Source organism: Homo sapiens, chromosome 3 (genome assembly GCF_000001405.40).
Source record: "Homo sapiens chromosome 3, GRCh38.p14 Primary Assembly".
NCBI lineage: Eukaryota > Metazoa > Chordata > Mammalia > Primates > Hominidae > Homo > Homo sapiens.
The window spans coordinates 173,014,383-173,034,532 of NC_000003.12; the positions used below are offsets into that span (position 1 = coordinate 173,014,383).

Sequence of the window (20,150 nt, forward strand, 5' to 3'; positions counted from 1 at the left end):
TGGGTACTTATGGACATAAAGATGGAAACAATAAACATTGGGTACTGCTAAAGTGGGGAGAGAGGGAGGGGCGTAAGGGTGGATAAACTACCAACTGGGTACTATGCTCACTACCTGGGTAACAGGGCCATTTGCATCCCAAACCTCAGTGTCATGTAATATACTCATGTAATAAACCCGCACATGTATCCCATGAATCTAAAATGAAAGTTGAAAATATTTTAAAAAGTAAATAAATTTATTGGAATGCTCTGAAGTTATATTAATACTATCTCTTGAAGATTCAAAAAATCTGCAAAGTTGAACCTACATTCCCATAGAGCAACATTAGTTGGACTTGAGTGATGGCCACTCTCTTTGGAAGGGCCAGTGGTAGGGTGATGATATGGCCGGTGTGCTTGTGAAAGTCCTGGTTTGTACCTGTTTTCCTGGCGTAATTCTTAATAGTGTCCACTTTCACTATCACAGGTATCTAGTTTGAAAGATTAATTTTATGGTCACTTTAGTGAGTGGTCTCCAGCTCACTGTAGTTCGCAGAACATATTTTATCTTTTAATTGGTCTGATACACACATCATCTGCCTGGGCTTTATAAGCATTTGAATGTGTTATTCCTGTTTTTGTATCCCTTATCTAGCCCATGCATGTAGAAATACACAGAAAATTCTTTTTTCTTTTTTCTCTTTTTTTTTTTTTTTTGAGACAGAGTTTCACTCTCATCGCCCAGGCTGGACTGCAATGGCACGATCTCCACTCACCGCAAGCCCCGCCTCCTGGGTTCAAGTGATTCTCCAGCCTCAGCCTCCCAAGTAGCTGGGATTACAGGTGTCTGCCAGCATGCCTGGCTAATTTTTGTATTTTTAGTAGAGACGGGGTTGCACCATGTTGGCCAGGCTGCTCTCGAACTCTTGGCCTCAGGTGATCTGCCCACCTTGGCCTCCCAAAGTGCTGGGATTACAGGCGTGAGCCACTGCAGCCAGCAGAAAATTCTTTATCAATGATGCATTAAAGAGACTTTGTTGCATTTTTTCTTTAGTTTTACCTTCTGTTAGCTGCTTCTTACACAATGTGGTTTTAAATAAAGACCCTGTGCAATGTTATATGGTTTTTTGCCTATGTATTTTCAATTTAGAAGTCATCATGCTATCCCATAATCTTCACTACTATGAGCACAGTTCTCATATTTATCTTTCAATCAGGGTTCTAAAAAGAATTTTATGTAATATCTTATTGATATAGCTGAATGGTTATCAACCACATAGTACCACAGACTCAAAAACCTGCTAATTTAATTCACAACCCCCTAACTGGTGCTTGGCATATTTTAGACCTTGTGCTAGTCATGGAGCACAAAGAGATAAAAGACACCATGATACCTGTATTGTCAAAAGTCATTAGCAGTCTTCACAAAACAGTCTTGGCTTTTCTTTGATTTTATGTCTTTGAATATTTTCTTCTCATGAAGGTAGTCCCAAATGGGGTGTGTGTGTGTGTGTGTGTGTGTGTGTGTGTAAGTATGAGTGCTGGAGGAGGAAAGGCAGATTTGAGTGATGACATTCATTCTATGTCAACACAGATTTTTTGTATGCATTGAAACAGAAAGATGTTAAAAAGCTTTGCAACTTTCTATTTCAGTTAAAGCTTCACAAGGTGGCTTGTTCTTGGTAACGGGGGTTAGAGCTATCTTAACTTAATTTGTGGTCTGAAAATGTGATTTTATCAATTTAACCAGTGCCAGCCATCTCCGCAATGTGACTAGCATCCCTGCAGAGCCTAAACCATAATAAAATATCTCCATTTTTGTTCAATTTCTATAATTTATGTATTCTTACACTTTCTTCTGGTAGAATGTTACTGAAAGCATATTGACCTGTAAAATAAAAGAATCTGTCCATTGTAAACCTGATATCTTCCCTCCAACCACAGGGAGTAGCATTTCCTCCAGCCTCTCTTGTTGAGAGTTTGGGCTTTTTAAATGAGGCTGTTCTGGGAATCATTCTGGCCTATTTACTAGAAATCCCTTCATGGGTGATGATGGTTAGGCTCAGAAAACCTAAGACATTCTAATTTCCAGGGACTGGTTATATATACCTTTATCTTGGATAAGATATGGGCTGATGCATTTCCTTTGGAATTATGGTTTTAGGATCTCCTAAGTCACATAATAATGGCATTTTTTTCATATGTGGTAGGTGCCTCTCAATCCAAGAAACATGACTGCGTAGCATGCTACAGGAAATAACCTTGATGTGTTGTCTTTACCAATGAATTTTGACATAAAATACTTGTAAGAGGCCTGAATCAAACTACTCAAATCTCCAATAGATTGATTGATAAACATAAATGCTGTAAGCCAGGTGCAGTGTCTCACATCTGCAATCCCAGCACTTTGTGAGGCCAATGCCAGGAATCACCCGAGGTCAGGAGTTTGAGACCAGCCTGGCCAACACGGTGAAACCCCATCTAGACTAAAAATACAAAAATTAGCTGGGTGTGGTGGTGTGTGCCTATAGACCCAGCTACTCAGGAGGCTGAGGGAGGAGAATTGCTTGAACCTGAGAGGTGGAGGTTACAGTGAGCGCTGAGACTGTGCCACTGTACTCCAGCCTGGGCAGCAGAACAAGACTGTCTCAAAAAAAAAAAAAAGCTGTATATATTGCTTTATATATGTTGATTTACATTAGAAATCTAGCTGCTAAGATACACTACGATATTTATGTTCACAGTTCATAGCATCCTTTCTCTTGGGGGGAATGACCTTATACTGTATATTGAAGGCTATAATTGCTAAAGAAACCAAGATGAAAAATACTTGTACCTGACAGTAATTGTATTGCATCTCTATAGAAACTGCACACCAGCATAACCAAGAATTACCAGGAATTTTCTCAAGAAGCATTATCAGGTCAGTCATCAAATGATATTAAGCAGATATGCCTATTTCACTGCAGATATACCTAATTCAGTATACATGACAAGGGCAGTGGAATAGTCTGTGCCAATTTCACAGGGCAAATATTGACAAATTCCAAATTTTTAAGTTCTTGTTGTTTGTTTTGGGACCCACGAAAAATTTATGTCATTACTTTGGCTCCAACAGGCTTGATACAATTATGTTATAGCCAATGGTATGCTGGTAACCTGGCTCTCCTAAAAGTAAAAAAAAGCCTGGATTTGTAACATTTGCAATTTCAACAGTGTAGCTTCTCCCAGCATTGCTAATTTCTCCTACAGTTTAGCAACTAGCTCGCTCCGAATTCCTGAATATTTAACAATTTGATCTTTAGAGTCTGTATAAGCACACCACTAGCATTCTTTTACTAGCTGAAATCTAGTTCTGAAATTGTGTCTAGCCTTCTATTGATCTTTCAATTGGATTCAAGATGTATCAATACACCACCTCTTAATGGAGGCTATTTTGCAGATGGCTGTTACCTGCTAATGCTGAACTTACTAGCTTCATTTGTAGCTAGTGACCTTTATTAAAACCTGTTTATTTAAATGTGAAACAGAAGGACACTTACTATCATCTCTTACATTCTCTCTCATTCATACTGCGAGGAAACATGTGTGGTCAGAAAGTGAGCCACAGAGACATTTCAGTGGAGTAAATAAAAAGTAGGAAGAAGTAATGTGTGAGTACCTTAGATAAAACACATTGCAGAAATAGTAGAGGGGGAAATATGCAAAAAAGAGAGTGATAAAGACCTTTTAAAAACTGTTCAAAGTGGATCTTCACACAGATAAAAAGATGTTGTGGCATTTTGGTTGTTTGACTGCAAAGTGAGAGCAATTGAGATGAACTCTGCTTTCCATATCTATTTAACTGAGTTCAGGCAACTCCTGGGAACATCTTACAAACATGGAATTCATGTAAACCTCACAATGTCAATTTTTTTTTTTTTTTTTTGAGATGGAGTTTCGCTCTCGTTGCCCAGGCTGGAGTGCAATGGCGCGATCTCGGCTCACCACAACCTCTACCTCCTGGGTTCAAGCGATTCTCCTACCTCAACCTCCTGACTAGCTGGGATTACAGGCATGTACCACCATGCCAGGCTAATTTTTTGTGTTTTCAGTAGAGACAGGGTTTCTTCATGTTGGTCAGGCTGGTCTCAAACTCCCGACCTCAGGTGATCCACCTGCCTCGGCCTCCCAAAGTGCTGGGATAACAGGCTTGACACAGTGTCAATTTTATGAAGCCATTTTATTATACACTCAAACTCTTGCTTCCAATGTCAAAGATAGTATTATTTAAAAATGTTCTAGACAGTAGTCACCTGCAACCTAGGCACCCCATCTCGATTCCTGCAGATTTATCCTTAGAAGTTGTGCTTGGAGTAAATCTAGAAACCAGCCACATTTTCCTGCTAGATTCCTGGGGCGGTAAAGTGGATGAGGAAGAAATAACAGGCACCTCTACATTAGGAAATAAGGAAAATTATTTGAGAGAGCTCATGGAACAGAAGAGGAGTCTTGTGAGCTAATCCAGGAAGGAAAAAAGCCTGGGTTGTCACAGGCAAGAAGGAATTCTGAGTGTAGCATTGAGGCTGTTGCACAACTCTTGCAATTCTTTGCCACAGTCTAAGTTCTGGGATGCAAATATTAGGGGAAGCTTCACTAGGTTTTTAAAAAATACATTGGAGTCCAAGAAAAAAATACTCTGGGACATCTCTAGCAAACTTGGTGTTATTTAACTGATGCCATCTGCTCCAGAAATGGGTTTCTAGGATCTTTTTCACGTGATTGGATTTCCTCTCCAGTGCTCAAGAGATAGTTATAGAAATGTGTCATTACAATGTGGACAAGAACATCCCCGAGAGCAAGAGGTCAAGCGCATTTCTATTACTTTATGCAAGTTTTTCCATCATCATCAGTGACCTCATGGCTGGAAAGTTTGAATTTTGTTAAGAGCTATGAACATGGAATAGCTTTAATTAAAGAGAAAGATAGTCAATAATTGCTGGTTTGACGTTGATAGACAATAATTTGGATAAAATCATATTCCATGAGAGAAATGGAGAGTTCTGTTATGCTATTACCAGAATTTGAGAATAAAATTAATTTGACTTGATATAAATCCTCACAAAAGTTAAAACAAACATACCGGGCAGCCTCTGAATACCTCTCCAGACATCTAAACACTGTTGCTTGACGAAGATGATTCCGGAAATAGGCTGGGTTTAAAACAATGCTCCTGTAAAAAGGTAAAAGAAATGCAAATGTTATTTGGGTTTTAAAAGACAATTACCACAAGTGCAATGGAATGAAATCACAGGCATTCAATTTTATATACTATGTGTTTTTAAAGATACTAGTGAAAGGAGCCCTTCCCCGCCCCCCGTAATTGGCAATTAAGACAAATAAACAAGCATTATTGAAAAACTAATTAAGTTTGCATTATCAAAGAAATTTTATTTATGGGACTGGATATTTTTACAGATATGACAATGGCAAAGAATTTGAATTCAACTTATGTTACATATAAGACATGGTGCTATTTTATTTGTTTTTAAATGAATTTTTATTTCAATAAATCAGGGAAAAAGCAGGTTATTTATGGTATGTCTACTTTTAATGAAGAAAGAGATTGTTAGTTGCTGAATTTCAGTTAAAAAAAAAAAAAGGAACTGGAGGCTGGGTGCGGTGGCTCATGCCTGTAATCCCAGCACTTTGGGAGGCCGAAGTGGGTAGATCACCTGAGGTCATGAGTTCAAGAACAGCCTGGCCAACATGGTGAAACCCTGTCTCTACTAAAAAATACAAAAATTAGCCAGGCATGGTGGCAGGCGCCTGTAATCTCAGCTACTCGGGAGGCTGAAGCAGGAGAATTGCTTGAACCCGGGAGGCAGAGGTTGCAGTGAGATCGCGCCACTGCACTCCAGCCTGGGGGACAAGAGCGAGACTTCGTCTCAGAAAAAAAAAAAAAAGAGGAACTGGAATTTGGGTGACATGTTCATTTGAATTCCATAATTAGGTTCTGTGTTTTCTCCCAGCTGGGTGTAAGAGAAGACCTGTACTGTTGGTTAAGGGATCTAGTCTTGGTCTTGACCCTTTTGTTAAGGCCTTTCCTCACTTTGGACCTCTGTTTTTTCTTGACTGAAATGACAAGGCTTGACTTGTGGATAAGATGAACTAACTGTCCTTACCTGCTGACTCTTCCATTATCTCACAGAGTTCTGGAATCTCAATCCAAACCTAGATGTGAAATGATCTCCCTAGCTGCCTTCTTCTCCTAGAGATAAAGGGGTAGACCTTTCTCTTCCTTGCTTCATTGAGAGCCTATTATGGGTAGGTATTGCTCAAGGTGTTTGATATAACAGGGTCAACTAGCTGGATGCAGTCCATGCCCTATCACCAAATGGGGACCCAGCCATTAGTGAAAGTTCGAAATGTAGCTTCTACTGTATTTATCAATGTGGGCTACAGAATGTTACAGAACCAACGCATGATTATTAAGCAACATTTTGTGAGCCTATTTTTACAAGTTGATGGGAATCACTTGGAATTAGTTCATTATTAAAGTAAGTGGTTCTTAACCTTTTTTTGAGAGGTATACAGTGCTTTCGGGAACCAGATAAAAAGTCTGAACCTCTGTCCAGAAAAATGCACATAATCATAATTGCACAAATTTAGGAAACTTGTGTGACCTCTCAGGGCTCTTCAGGTATTCCACATTAAAAACATGCAGACGAAAATAATTCAATTCCCAGAAACACTGCATATAAAAAGAATAAAGTAGAAAAAAATCTGTCTGGCCTGTGGATAATCATAGAATCGTATGATGATGAGATGGATCGACTGTATAACTTAGCTCACTTCAAACACAAATCAGCAGAAAGTAGAGGAAGACGGAACTTTCTAAAATCATGCATAACTAGTTAAAGAGCTGTCTAAAGTTTTTTGGTTCTCCATGTCTAGCCACAGAGCATTGTATTATATCACACTGCCTTTCCTATGGTGATTTCTGAATTAGACGGGTCTGAGTTAATGAGGTTTTACTGTACTCTATGACAAGGATTTTTGCAAATGAATACATTAATCCCTCAAGAACACAGATCGTTTGCTTTGGTGTGTTTTGATTAAAATGTTGGAAATGTTAAAATGATCACATGGGTTCATTTAATATCAAGACAAAACTATAATACTAATATTTACCATGAATATTTTTTATTACTTCAGAAAAAGAGAATGTTTGAAAATCATGTTTATATATTTTGTCCCTATAGAAGCAATTTTGTAAAGGTAAGTCAGAGTAGCTGAGGGCAGAGCTTTGTCCAGGGACTGGGTTTTCTGATTCTGACAACTTTCTTCCACAGGATAGGTAATTCTTCCCTATTACTTTTTATTTATTTATTTATTTATTTATTTATTTATTTATTTATTTATTTCATCCACAAGTCTATGAGGTGTACTCCCTATTACTTTATTCACTTATTCACTCATGCATGTTTAGTTAGCATCTACAAATTTGATGGGACAAAATCCTTACTGAATGGATGTTTCCAGCCTTTGGCATCTTTTTGCCTATGATGTAATGTTTTTGCTTTGCCGAGCTATTCTCCAAGAATCTTGCTCTGTCAGACAAGTTCTTCTGACAAAAGTAGATTAGATTGGAGACAAGGATGAGGTGTGCTGGGAAGGAGGGGTAGTGAAGAAAGAGCTTATCAAAAGAGAGAGAGGAGAGAGAAGAGAAGGCATCAGAGTTGCTTTGGATGTAGGCAGAGAAGATTTTTGTGAGTAGTGAGGGCTGGTGAGGTTGACACTATCGGAACCATTACAGTGTGATTTATAAAAAGATAGGAATTAAAAAAAAATTACTTGTAATTATAATTCCTCTGTATGGTGTTGAAGAAATGCAAGTAGAGGACATGAGTTTAGAAATCACTATTGCTAGACGGACTAGGTTCTTTTAATCATAACACCACTCTGCCCTAAACCATATGATTCCCGGCTTCATAAGAGGGACCGAAGGAAGACACAGACCCAGTCTCTACTCTGAAAGTGTAATTATAAAAGAATATTTGGTAATTTGAGATGAAATATTTTATTTGGCAATTTATTATTTTTGACTTTTATAATTATTGCAGCATTCACTGTGTGCTTATCTTACGCCCCTGTTAGATATTTGGCAAGGAAATGCTAGTGGCAGTTGTAAAGCCTAGCTTTTATACTTTTATTAATTTATCGATGCTTTCTAAAATGACATACCCTTTTAAAGATATATTTTATGTCGTGTGCAACTTGTAGGGGAAATGATGATCTGTCTTTTGAAAAGTTCTTAATCATTTGTCATTTGATGCCATTTGGAAAGCTGCAGGAGGCAGCCTGTGACCAAAATGGACAATCTCACTGCAGTTACAGTGAAAAAAAAAAAAACTACAATTGTAATCAGAGAGCAATCTCAGAGCTGATTGGTCTGATTTTATCACAGAGGAAAAAACTCTGATTTAGCTATGCTGATAGGGCTTTTGGTAAAAAACAAGAACCATGTTAGAGACTAGCTAAATGATAGACGTCATTGAATTTTTGTCAGAAGAAAAGGAGTTAGTAATGGGCAATGATTGCCTACTCCATTGATTCACCCCTTTCTAAAACAATGGGATCCTGTAAAATAATATATATTATAGTAAATGAAAGTTTATTTTTAAAACAAATTTGTTACCTGTGGTAAATCTTGTGCTTTTTATGATTTCTATTTGTGGATACTTTAAAATTTATCTTTTTTATTAAAGTTCACATGATTTGATGCTTGTGTATGTGTGTGTGTGTGTGTGTGTGTGTGTGTGTGTGTGCTTATTTTATTAAGCCCTAAATTTGTACACTGATGAGGCTCGAATATAAGTCTATTTTGGTAATTATCTCAGGTTTCCCAATTCGCTTGATAAATAATCCATCCTTCTCTCGTGATTTGATATGCCACGTTTATTATACACTAAGTTCATATGCACACTTGGGTCTATGGCTGGGCTTTGTAGCCCATGCTTTTGATCTGCCTAATTCTGTGACAGAAAATGCTCTAATTATCTTTATTTTATAATAGATTTTAATTTCCAGAAGGGAAACAACTGCCTAATGTCCTCTATGTGAATATATTTGTTAGTTAATATGGCATATTTATTCTTCCTGTTGAACTTTATCATTTTTGTTTCTTCCAGCTACAAAAAGATCATTTGGTGATTTTTATTGGTATTAAACTAAAGACATTAGATTAAAATTTAGGAAGAATAGACATTTTTATATTATTGTCTTCCCATACAGGAATGTGGCATTTCTCTTCTTTATTCAAATATTCTTTTGTGTCTCCCAGTAATATTTTAAAGTTTTTTTAAATAGAAGTTTTACTAATTACTTGTAATATTTTAACTTTTTTAAAAAAACAGAAATTTTACTAATTTCTTGTTAATTCTTAAGTTTGAAAACTCTGCATGAGAATATATGTCAATATGTCTATATTCACATATCTATGTATATGCACACACATATTTGCATATATATTCTCATGTAGAATTTTAAAGCTTAAGAATTATATAAAATGTATAGAATAAATATATATAAATATATTACTATGAATATAATCAGCATCAGGACCTGGGAGCTTGCTAAAAATGTGAAATCTTGATTCCCACCTCAAACCTACTGAATCACATTTTAACGAGATTCTTAGTTGATCTGTATGCACATTAAGGTTTGAGAAACACTACATGTATGCACAATAGGTATGGGATTTTTTTCTATTATATTTTCCAAACTCTTATTGATAGCATAGCATTTAAACATGTATTTTTAAAAATATTTATTTTGTACCCTTATAACTTAATATCGCAATAATTTAATTTTATTTACATCATCTGCAAATAATGATGTTTGGTTACTACTTTTCAGTATTTATAACTATTTTTTTCTCTTACTACATAGGCTAAATTTTTTAGAAAAAGAATTTAGATAAGTAGGGTGATCTAAGAGTGTTTCAATATTTCATTGATAATTATTATTATTGATCAATTTAAGAAAAAAAGAAGTATCATTCTATGTGTTATTTTCCAAGAGTTACCAGAAGTAAATAATTTTTAAAAATATTCTTTGAATCTATCAAAATGATCTTGTGGACTTTCCTTTGATCTTTTGTATTGATGAATTAGGTTAATTAATGATTCAAGAAAGGTATCAAAATTAATACAGAATATTAAAGCCAAGGATTGAGAAAGTGAATAATAAAATAAAACTACATCCAGGATGAGAAATGAACAAATAAAAAAATTCATTTAAAAAATAATGCTATGATTTTTATGAAATCGTATACTAAAATTAAGTTGCTAGAGGTTTTATATTTTGTCTTTTCAATCAAACTGATATTAGGTTTAGCTATTAATTCTACTGTTTTATTTTTGATTTATTCATTTGTTTTTATACTTATTAATCAATATTTGTCCTCTCTGAAATTTATTTTTATTATTTCTCTTATTCTTGACATATAGAAAATTTATGTTTTCTTTTTAAAGAAAGCATTTAGAGGTTTGAATTTTTACAATAATTTTAGCTTTGACCATATCCTTAAGAATGATAGAGTATATTTTATTCTCATTATAGTTTTTTCTCCCAGTCTCTAATTATAGATTTTAATTCCTCTTTAAAGAATTATTTAGGACAGCATTGTTCAATTTCAAAAGGGTATTTTTTTCTTATAACTTTTACTGTTAATTTCCCATTTTATTACAATGTAAATAGAGAATATCTTGGACAATTTCTTCTTCTGCTATATATGAAAATTAATAAATGGTTCAGTGTTGAAAATATTTTAATGGAATGTAGAAGAAATAATATATTTATTTCTAAGGTATTGTTAGTCTGAAACCACTGGAGATAACATTAAATTTTTAATGATTTAAATAAAACTTCTAGACACCTTTTACTTCATTCAAATTCCTTGGGAAATCTTTTGAAAAGTAAATTTTAATGGTGATTATTACCATTTTAAACCCAGCTTGTTTTTAAAGGCAATATTCTCATTGTTTATATTCATGTTCTATAATACTTTTCAGAAAGTTAAATTTTTTCTAACATGTTTTTATTTAAGTCAGTTTTATTGAGTTATAATTTATATACAGTAGTATTCACTTTTTAAAAGTATATAGTTTGGTCTGTTTCGACAAATACATAGCCATCAACACAATAGAGATACAGAAATTTACAACCGTACTAAACAGTTCTCTCATTTTCCTTTTTAATCAATTTTCTTCCCTTATGCCCAGTTTCTGGCAACCACTGATCTATTTTCCAAATTTATAGTTTTACCTTCTCTAGAATATCACTTAAATGGAATAATATAGTATATACCCTATGCGTACGGCTTCTTTCACTTAGAATAATGGTTTTGAGATTCATCCATATTATTGTATGTATCAATAGTTTGCTTCCTTTTACTGCTTAACTATTAGCAGTTTCCACAATTTGTTTATTCATTCACCAACTGATGAACACTCTGTTGTTTCTGTTGCTGTAAACATTCATATACAAATCTTTTGATATAAGCTTTCATTTCTTATGGTAAAATACAGGGGAGTGAGAATACTGGGTCCTATTCTAAGCATATGCTCAACTTTGTGAGAAACTCCTAAACGTCTTTCCAAAGCAGTTGTACTATCCTGCATTCTCTCCAGCAATGCATGAAAGTTCCAGTTGCTTTGCATCGTCGCCAGAACTGGTATGATCAGCATGTATGCGTGTGTTGTGTTTAAAGTTTTAGCGACTGTGATAGGTGTAGATGGTATCTCATTGTGGCTTTAGTTTGCATTTCCCTAGTAACTAAAGATGTTGAGGATCTTTTCATGTGATTATTGGCCATTTGTGTATATTCTTTTGTGAAGTTCTTGTTAATCTTTTGCCATTTTAAAAAACTGGGCATTTTTTTTCCTTATTAGTGTGTTGTAAGGGTTCTTTATGTACTCTGGATACAAATTCTTTGTAAGATACATATACTGCACATATTTTTCTCTGAGTCTGTGGCTTGTCTTTTAATATTCTCAATAGTTTCTTTTGAAGAGCAGAAGATTTTTGATGATGTCCAACTTATCGACTGTTTTTCTTTTATAGTTTATACCTTTAAAATATACTATTTAAGAAAACTTTGCTTAATCCAAGGTGACAAAGAATTTCTTTCATATTTTCTTCAAAAAGTTTGATAGTTTTAACAGTTATAAACTATTGGAGTTGAATTTGTTTATGGTGTGAGGTAAAGATAAAGACATTTTATTTTGCTTATAAATCTGCAATTTTCCCGGCACTACTCATTGTAAAGACTATTCTTTCTCTATTGAATAACCTTGACATGATTATCAAAAATCAATTAACCATATCTGTGTGAGTCAATTTCGGAATGGAATATTCTGTTCTGGTGATTTATTTGTCTATCTTATGCCATTATAACAGTTTTGACTACTATAGATTTATAATAAATCTTTAAATCAGGTAGTTTAAGTCCTCCCAACTTTGTTCTTTTTTTTCCCCTCTAACATTGTTTGGACTTATTGAAATTCTGTACTTTTCTGTTTACATTTTAGAAAGTAGCCTGTTAATTGCTAAAATGTCTGCTGGGATTTTGATAAGTGTATAGAAAACTTTAAGATCTATTGACATCTTAATAATATTGAGTCATCTGATCAATAAATATAGCACTTTTCTCCATAATTAAGGCTTTATTTAATTTCTTTCATCAATGTTTTGTAGTTTTCAGCATGAAAATCTCACACAAACTTCATTAGATTTATTCCAAACATTTGATATTTTTTGTTGCTCTTATAATTGGCAATGATTTTTAAATTTCAATTCTTATTGTTCATTGCTAATTTATAGAAACATAATTGATTTTTTACGTTGACCTTGTATTCTGCTACATCATACTACTAAGCTTAATTATTAGTTCCAAAAGCTTTTCCAAAAATACTTTGGGATTTTCTAAATAGATGATTACATCTTCTGCAACTAAAGATGACTTATTTATTTCTTTCCAGCCTATAACATTTGTTTATTTTCTTTGCCCTATTGTACTGTTTATCACCTCCAGTACCATTTGTTGTTGTTGCTGTTGTTTTGTTTTGTTTTACTTCCCTCAGAATTCTCTAAGCTTCTCAGACTTGAATTTTACTGTTTTCCCTTTAATTTTGGAAAATTCTTGCTTTTTTTCTCTGTCCCATTCCTCTCTCTCCTTTTCCTCCTCATTCTGGGACTCTTCCTTATAGCAGCCAACCCCTGCATTGAATATGTGGTTGGTCTCATTTTAGAGAGTGTTTTCTGCTTCTTGTCTAGTGGTAGCAGAACTCCTCTTGGTATCTTCCCCGGGCCCAAGAGAGGTTTCTATCTCTCTTTATCTCTTCCCCAAAGCAGAGGGTTTATGCTTTACCCTTCCTTCAGTGGCTATGGGAACAGGATAATTTCTGACTTCTTCCCCAGAGACATATGTTTTGCTTCTACTTCTCAATCAGAAGCTATGGATTTTTGCCTGGATGCTGAGAATGTGAATATCTGCTATCACTACCCCAGGTACTTTAGACTTTAGCTTTATATGAGACTAGGGATTAGGGAACAAATTTATTTTTTCTCCCTCCCTCCCTCCCTCCCTCCCTCCCTCCCTCCCTCCCTTCCTTCTTTCCTTCCTTCCTTCCTTCCTTCCTTCCTTCCTTCCTTCCTTCCTTCCTTCCTTTCTCTCTCTCTCTTTCTTTCTTTCAATTTCTTTTTTAGGCAAAGATGCCCATCTAGTTACCATTGTCTTGGCTGTTAGCAAAGTAGTGATTGTTTCATCCTCCCGAGGCAACACTCCTCTTATTCTTTTAATAACTTGCTGATGTTCTTAAAATAGAAATAGGTGGTAGATCTAGAGAAAGCTAGGAACATGGAATGTTTTAATTTCAGCGAATCATGATAACTTTATGGATAAGATGATGACATTTATGCTGGATAATAGCATCATTTCGTAGATTATAACCAATTGAATAACTGATTAATGCTATGTAAGTATGATCTGTGTTATTATGAAATAAGGAATCTAATGAAATGTCTTTAGCCCTTTTTGTGGACCTTATTTTCATTAGTGAACTAAGATTAAGAAATTGAAAGGATGTCGATAAAATTTTCAGACGGCATAAATTTTACTGCAACAGGAACTTATATCACTGATGACGTAAGCAAAATTTAAAATAATATGGACTGTTTAAAAATAAAAAATCTTAGTTATAAACAATCATTTTATAAAGATAATCATGGCTTGAGTTTGATCATATGGAAAAAATCTGAATATTTTAACTGCAAGCTAAATGATATGATAATATAATAGAGCTACAAAAATTGCACATAAAATTTTGTGCTAAATCAATATAACACATTGTTTTCAAATAACAAGTGATGTTTTCACTGAATTGTGCCTTCACCATATAGTCCCTTGAATTCATCTATAGTTCTGAGCATCTGTGAAGATCATCACCATATCGGAAGCTGTCTAGAATGAGTGATCTGGAAAACATAGTGTGTGAAGAATATGGAATGAAATAAATATGTTTAGAGAGTAAAATAATATCAGCCTCAGTAAATATATTCAAATACAATGCCCTTCCATATGGAATATAGAATAATTATTCTATGTAATATCAGATGAGGCCAGGCAAAAACCAGTTATAAAGCTACAAATAGCTCAGTTCAACATAAGGGGGGACTTACTAACCAATGATGCAACAGGCTTTCAGGAGAATTTCCTTTTACTGGAAACATTTAAATGATATTTAGAATGCCATCTGTCAGGACATGTAGAATAAATTCCTCACTGAGTGGGAGATAAGGCTAAATGACTTTCAAGTATATTCACGAAAATTTCTTATAATGCATTATCCAGCACTGTGAAGAGTCTGAGTTTTTTTTCCCTACTTGCAAACTAACAAGTTAGCTTGAAGCAGTTTTATGGAAGCTGGTAGAAGGTATGAGCCTCCAGGGTCAGAGACAAAGGACAGTTTATTGTTCACAGCAATAACAGTAATCAGAGTTTTTTTTTTGTTTGTTTGTTTTGTTGTTGTTTGTTTGTTTGTTTTACTGGTTCTCTGAACCATAGATCCCAGATGGTGGTGAAAGGAAGCTCAGGTGACACCTTCACATGCACTAGGTTGTACCACATGAGAAAAATATGAGTTTAGAGAATGTGAATATTTTGTAATGGGCTGTAAGGTTGCCTATCTTTTGCTCTAGGGGGAAACAGTACACCTGGCAAGGCAGTAAAAAGACTTGTCTTTCCTTCTAAGGCTGTTTGCCACACAACCATCTTTGAAAAGATAGTCTGGAGCAAAGACCAGTCAGCGCCTTGGTCACAAGATATGCAAAACTGCTATACACATGGGTAATTTTCTCCCCATAGGGATAGATTTTTATTTTTATTTTTATACAGGGCTTTGCTCTGTTGCCAAGGCTAGAGTGTAATGGTGTGATCATGGTTTACTGCAGCCTCAACCTTAGTAGCTGGGACCACAGGTGCATGCCACCACATTCAGAAATTATGGATAGCTTTTGTTCAGATGTGTAAGACCTATTTGTTACATTCATGCCATTAATAAATTTGAAAAGCATTCATAACAATGGGAAAATTAAGATATCACAGGTAAGTGACAGGATGCCTAATATTGAAGACAGAGTGGTTACTTTACTATCTATCTATCTATCTATCTATCTATCTATCTATCTATCTATCTACCCACCCACCTACCTGTCTATCTATATTCTGTCCTAGGAAGGGATTAAGGTAGCTTATAAAATACTTATGAAGTTAAATGAAAGTAAAAATAACTCACAGGAAATAAATAAAAATAAACAAATCGGACTGTATCAAAATTAAAAACTTCTGTTCATCAAAGGACAATATAAACAGAGTAACACAGCAGCCCACAGAATGGGAGAAAATATTTGCAAATCTTATATCTGTTACAGGGTTGATATCCAGAATATATAAGAAACTTCTTTGAGTTAACAACAATTTAAAAGACAACCCTGTTAAAAATGGACAAAGAACTTTAATAGACATTTTTCCAAAGGTGATATACCAAGGGCCAATAAGCATATGAAAAGATGTTTACATCACTAATTGTTAGGGAAATTCAAACCAAAACCACAATGAGATACCATCTCACACCCATTAGAATAGCTACTATAAAAAATCAGAAATAAAAAAGTGTTGGCAAGGATGTGGAGAAATTAGAATGCTTGTGCACTGTTTGTGGGATTGTAAAATGATGCACCCACTATAGAACAAAGTATGGAAGTTCCTCAAAAAGTTAAAAAATATAATTACTACATGATCCAGCAATTCCACTCCTGTGTATATACCTAAAATAATTGAAATCAGAGTCTCCAGGAAATATTTGTATCCTCATGTTCAAAGCAGCATTATTCAAAATAATCAAAAGGTAGAAGCAACCCAACGTCCATTGATGGATGAATGGATTAACAAAACATGGTATCTAACATACAATGGAATACTCTTCAGACTTAAAAAGCAAGAAAATTAAGACACATGCTACAACATGAATGCACTTCAGACATTATACTTTGTGAAATAAGCCAGACACAAAGAGAGAAATACTGTATGTTTCCATTTTCATTGATGTACCTGGAGTAGTCAAATTTATGGGGACAGGAAGCAGAATGGTGATTGCCAGGGGACAGGAGGAAAGGGGAACAGGGATTTGTTATTTAATAGGCATAGACTTTTAGTTTTGCAAGATTGGAAGAGTTCTGGAAATTGCCTGCACAACGTGAAAGTACTTAACACAATTGAACTGTACACTTAACACTGGGTAAGATCGTACATTTTATGTTATGTATATTTTACCACAGTTAAAACGACAACAAAAATAACTGAATGTGGAAGCAAGATTAAAAGTAGGGAGAGTTAAGATGAAGCCTGGATGAGGTTAGTGCACAAATATTATATCTTAAGATCCTAAAAGTTTGATTGAAATGACTACACATCTAAATTTGCTGGTAGCTAATGAAAAGAGGGTCGCATAGCCAGTATTAAACAAGCAATTGTTCAACTCAAGTATTTCTTGGCCTACAATCAGAAAGATGAGCTTATCCAAAGATGCCCTATAATGTAACAATCTGTGTTCTCAGTAACAGATTTACAGAAAAATCAGCGAGTGTTCCATATTGTTGCTTCTTAGAGAGTCTTTCAACATGGGCTGTTGGCATAGTACTAAATCTCAATCTAGTAACTTAAATTCTGGGGTAGGTAAAAAATGAGAATAGAAAGAAAACTTATGCAACAGTGCTGTCACTATACAGAGATTCAGTGAATCTTAGTGGTTTTGTCTTATTTAGTCAATTGACTTGCTACAAAAGATTGATCATTAGAATTAAATTAAAACTAAAATAAAGTATAATAGTCCTCTGCTTTTAAAAAGTTCATGCAGTCAGTTTAAATATCTTCAATAGATAATCAAGATAGAAAAATGGAATAACCCAATTTAATTTACATTGAGAAAAAGAACTGCTTTACAAAGTATTAGACCATAAAATTAGAAATAAAGGCATTGGATTTTGAAATAAGAAAATTACTGTAGATTATTGTCAAACAAAGCATATAGCTCTGCCAAAACACTAGCAGAGTATGTTTTTGCAAAAGCATGAAAGTAGAACCTAACTTCAGGGAAATAACAACAAGAAATCATTCTCAAATATTACTTGAGATCTCAGCATGTATGTGGCACAGCAGAAGAAAATGAGGTTTTGAGAAGTCAAACAGAAAACAACTCAAATATTGTCTTTCATGTTTTATCCCCAAAATTACAATTAATTCTGCAACTAATTAAATGTGAAAAATATTAAATTATTGAATTATCTCAAGTGAACAACAAACACCTATTTCTTGACATGACAAATAATTTATGAAATAATTACTTAAAAGAATTTGCTATATTGTCACAACACTGAAAAATATATAGTCAGAAAGAAATGTTATATGGTCTATCTTCTTTATAGAGCTAGTAATGAAAACACATTAAAAATCATCAGGATCTATGTTTAAGTATATTTTACTCTAAAATTTGAGTATGACATTACCTTGTTTAGGAAGACAGAATTTATAATTATACAGTGGGGGATTCAAATAATACATTTAATGGATCATCTATACCAAAAAATAAGAACTTTTAGAAGGGAGTCGCCTAGGGCTTCAAGCCTTCCATGTTCTTCATCCAAAGGAGTATTACCAGTTAACATGCATCAAATAACCATCAAAAGTAGGTATGATTACTGGATCTTTAGAGGCATGCAGTGAAATGCCTTCTTGAGCAATAGAGAACATTTATTTTTTTCTACATTTCTTCGACTTTCTTACTCAGTTAATTACTCTTTATCCACCGCAGACTTCTCCATAATGGGAAGTAATACTCACCGTTATCATTCACCTTTATATATTCAGCACCTAAGTGAATGCCTGGCACATAATAGGCAGTCAATAAATGTTTACAGAATAAAGCAATGTTAATAAAGTGGCTGAACAACATTTCCTCAAGAGCCTCCAGAGAACCTAATCATATCTAAGGTTCATGAATGAGATCTACATCTCTTGTGACCTGAATATATCAAGGATCACTCTCCACCAACTTTTGTGCCTGTATCCCAGTTGAACATCAAATGTACACAATCTTACAGTTTCTACCTTAGGCAGATGTGATCAGGAACAAAAGGCAGTTAATGTAATAATATCAGCGTAGAGATAGATAAGTAGGGCATTTGAAAACAATTCCCAAGAAAAAATATATATTTTTTTATAATTTGAAAATCTGAAAAAAGATCCTCATCTTTGTAGACTGTAATTGTGTCTTTCCATTTTTTCTTTCATCTGTCAAATGCCTGGATAGAGTGAACGTGAAATAAATTCCCATTTATTTCTTCATCTACATTGTAATCCCGAGTCTGTCTGGTAAAAGCTGTTAGTAAATCACTTGGTCAGTTCTCCCAACAAAATAGTCTTTAAGTAATACAGTATATCAACCTATCTTTTGACATTTTCATTTTTCGTTCTTGACATTTTCTCTTAAAAAATAATACAGTGTTGGCCCTATTATCTTTCCTTTGGAGTCTGTGAACCAAAATATCAGCTATCACCTCTCTTGTAGAAAAGCTCTCAAGGTTCAGAAACCAAAGATGTAGATGTAAGGCCCTACACATCTGTCTGTCTAATACTGGAGGGGAGGGTGGAGGATTGGTGATGGTGGTTCAAGAGCAGTGTGTTGAGTTTCACATGTTTTTTTCCATTCGCTGTGTTACTTGGGTGAGGTTTATTTTATTTTAGTTTAGTTTTTAGGGGGGACGGAGTCTCACTCTGACACCCAGGCTGAAGTGCAGTGGCATTATCTTGGCTCTCTGCAACTTCTGCCTCCCAAGTTCAAGCGATTCTCCTGCCTCAGCCTCCCAGGTAGCTGGGACTACAGGTGTGCACCACCACGCCTGGCTAATTTTTGTATTTTTAGTACAGACGGGGTTTCACTATGTTGGCCAGGCTGATCTTGAACTCCTGATCTCAAGTGATCTGTCTGCCTCAGCCTCCCAAAGAGCTGGGATTACAGGAGTGAGCTGCCGCGCCTGGCTGAGATGTATTTTAGAATGATTACTTTGAAAGGTACAATGAATAAACTTCCCTCTGTTCTACCTATTGGAAATTACTTATGATTCATTCGGCAATAATTTTTGAGTATAAACCATGTTCCAGCCACTGTTCAGGTTTTAAAGAAAAGAGCCAGAAAGGTAAATACATACTTAAACTAATATTTTGAGTAGCCTTATTGTATGGAAATAAGTGTTTGTCTGCATTCTATTATTTTTTATGCTGCCTTCAAATAGCAAATTACACAAGAAATTTTAAAATGAACTGAAATATAGTATACTGAATTCCATTACATAATTTTATTGGATAATAAAATCATATCCTTATTTCTTTTAGAGTCTGAAAATTAGAGGGATTTTTGATGTTAGAGTCTTAGAATTAGAGGGAAGTTTGACAGAAAAATCAAAACAATTTGTCTATCAGGTATTAAAATTACTCATATTAACATCATAATTTTTTGATTCGTGGAAGTATTAAATTACATCCAGGTAACAATATTTTACCTACTTAAG

General features: G+C 34.6%; 1 protein-coding gene across 3 annotated transcripts in view; it reads right to left on the bottom strand.

Annotated features, from left to right (window-relative positions):
* The window catches only part of SPATA16 (spermatogenesis associated 16), a 251,879-nt gene that overhangs the window by 125,026 nt on the left and 106,703 nt on the right, over positions 1 to 20,150 (bottom strand). For all 3 annotated transcript variants that reach the window (NM_031955.6, XM_006713778.4, XM_017007308.3), the window contains exon 4: positions 5,104 to 5,193. In NM_031955.6, coding sequence (NP_114161.3) covers positions 5,104 to 5,193 — 90 coding nt within the window. The remainder of the gene's footprint in view (positions 1 to 5,103; positions 5,194 to 20,150) is intronic.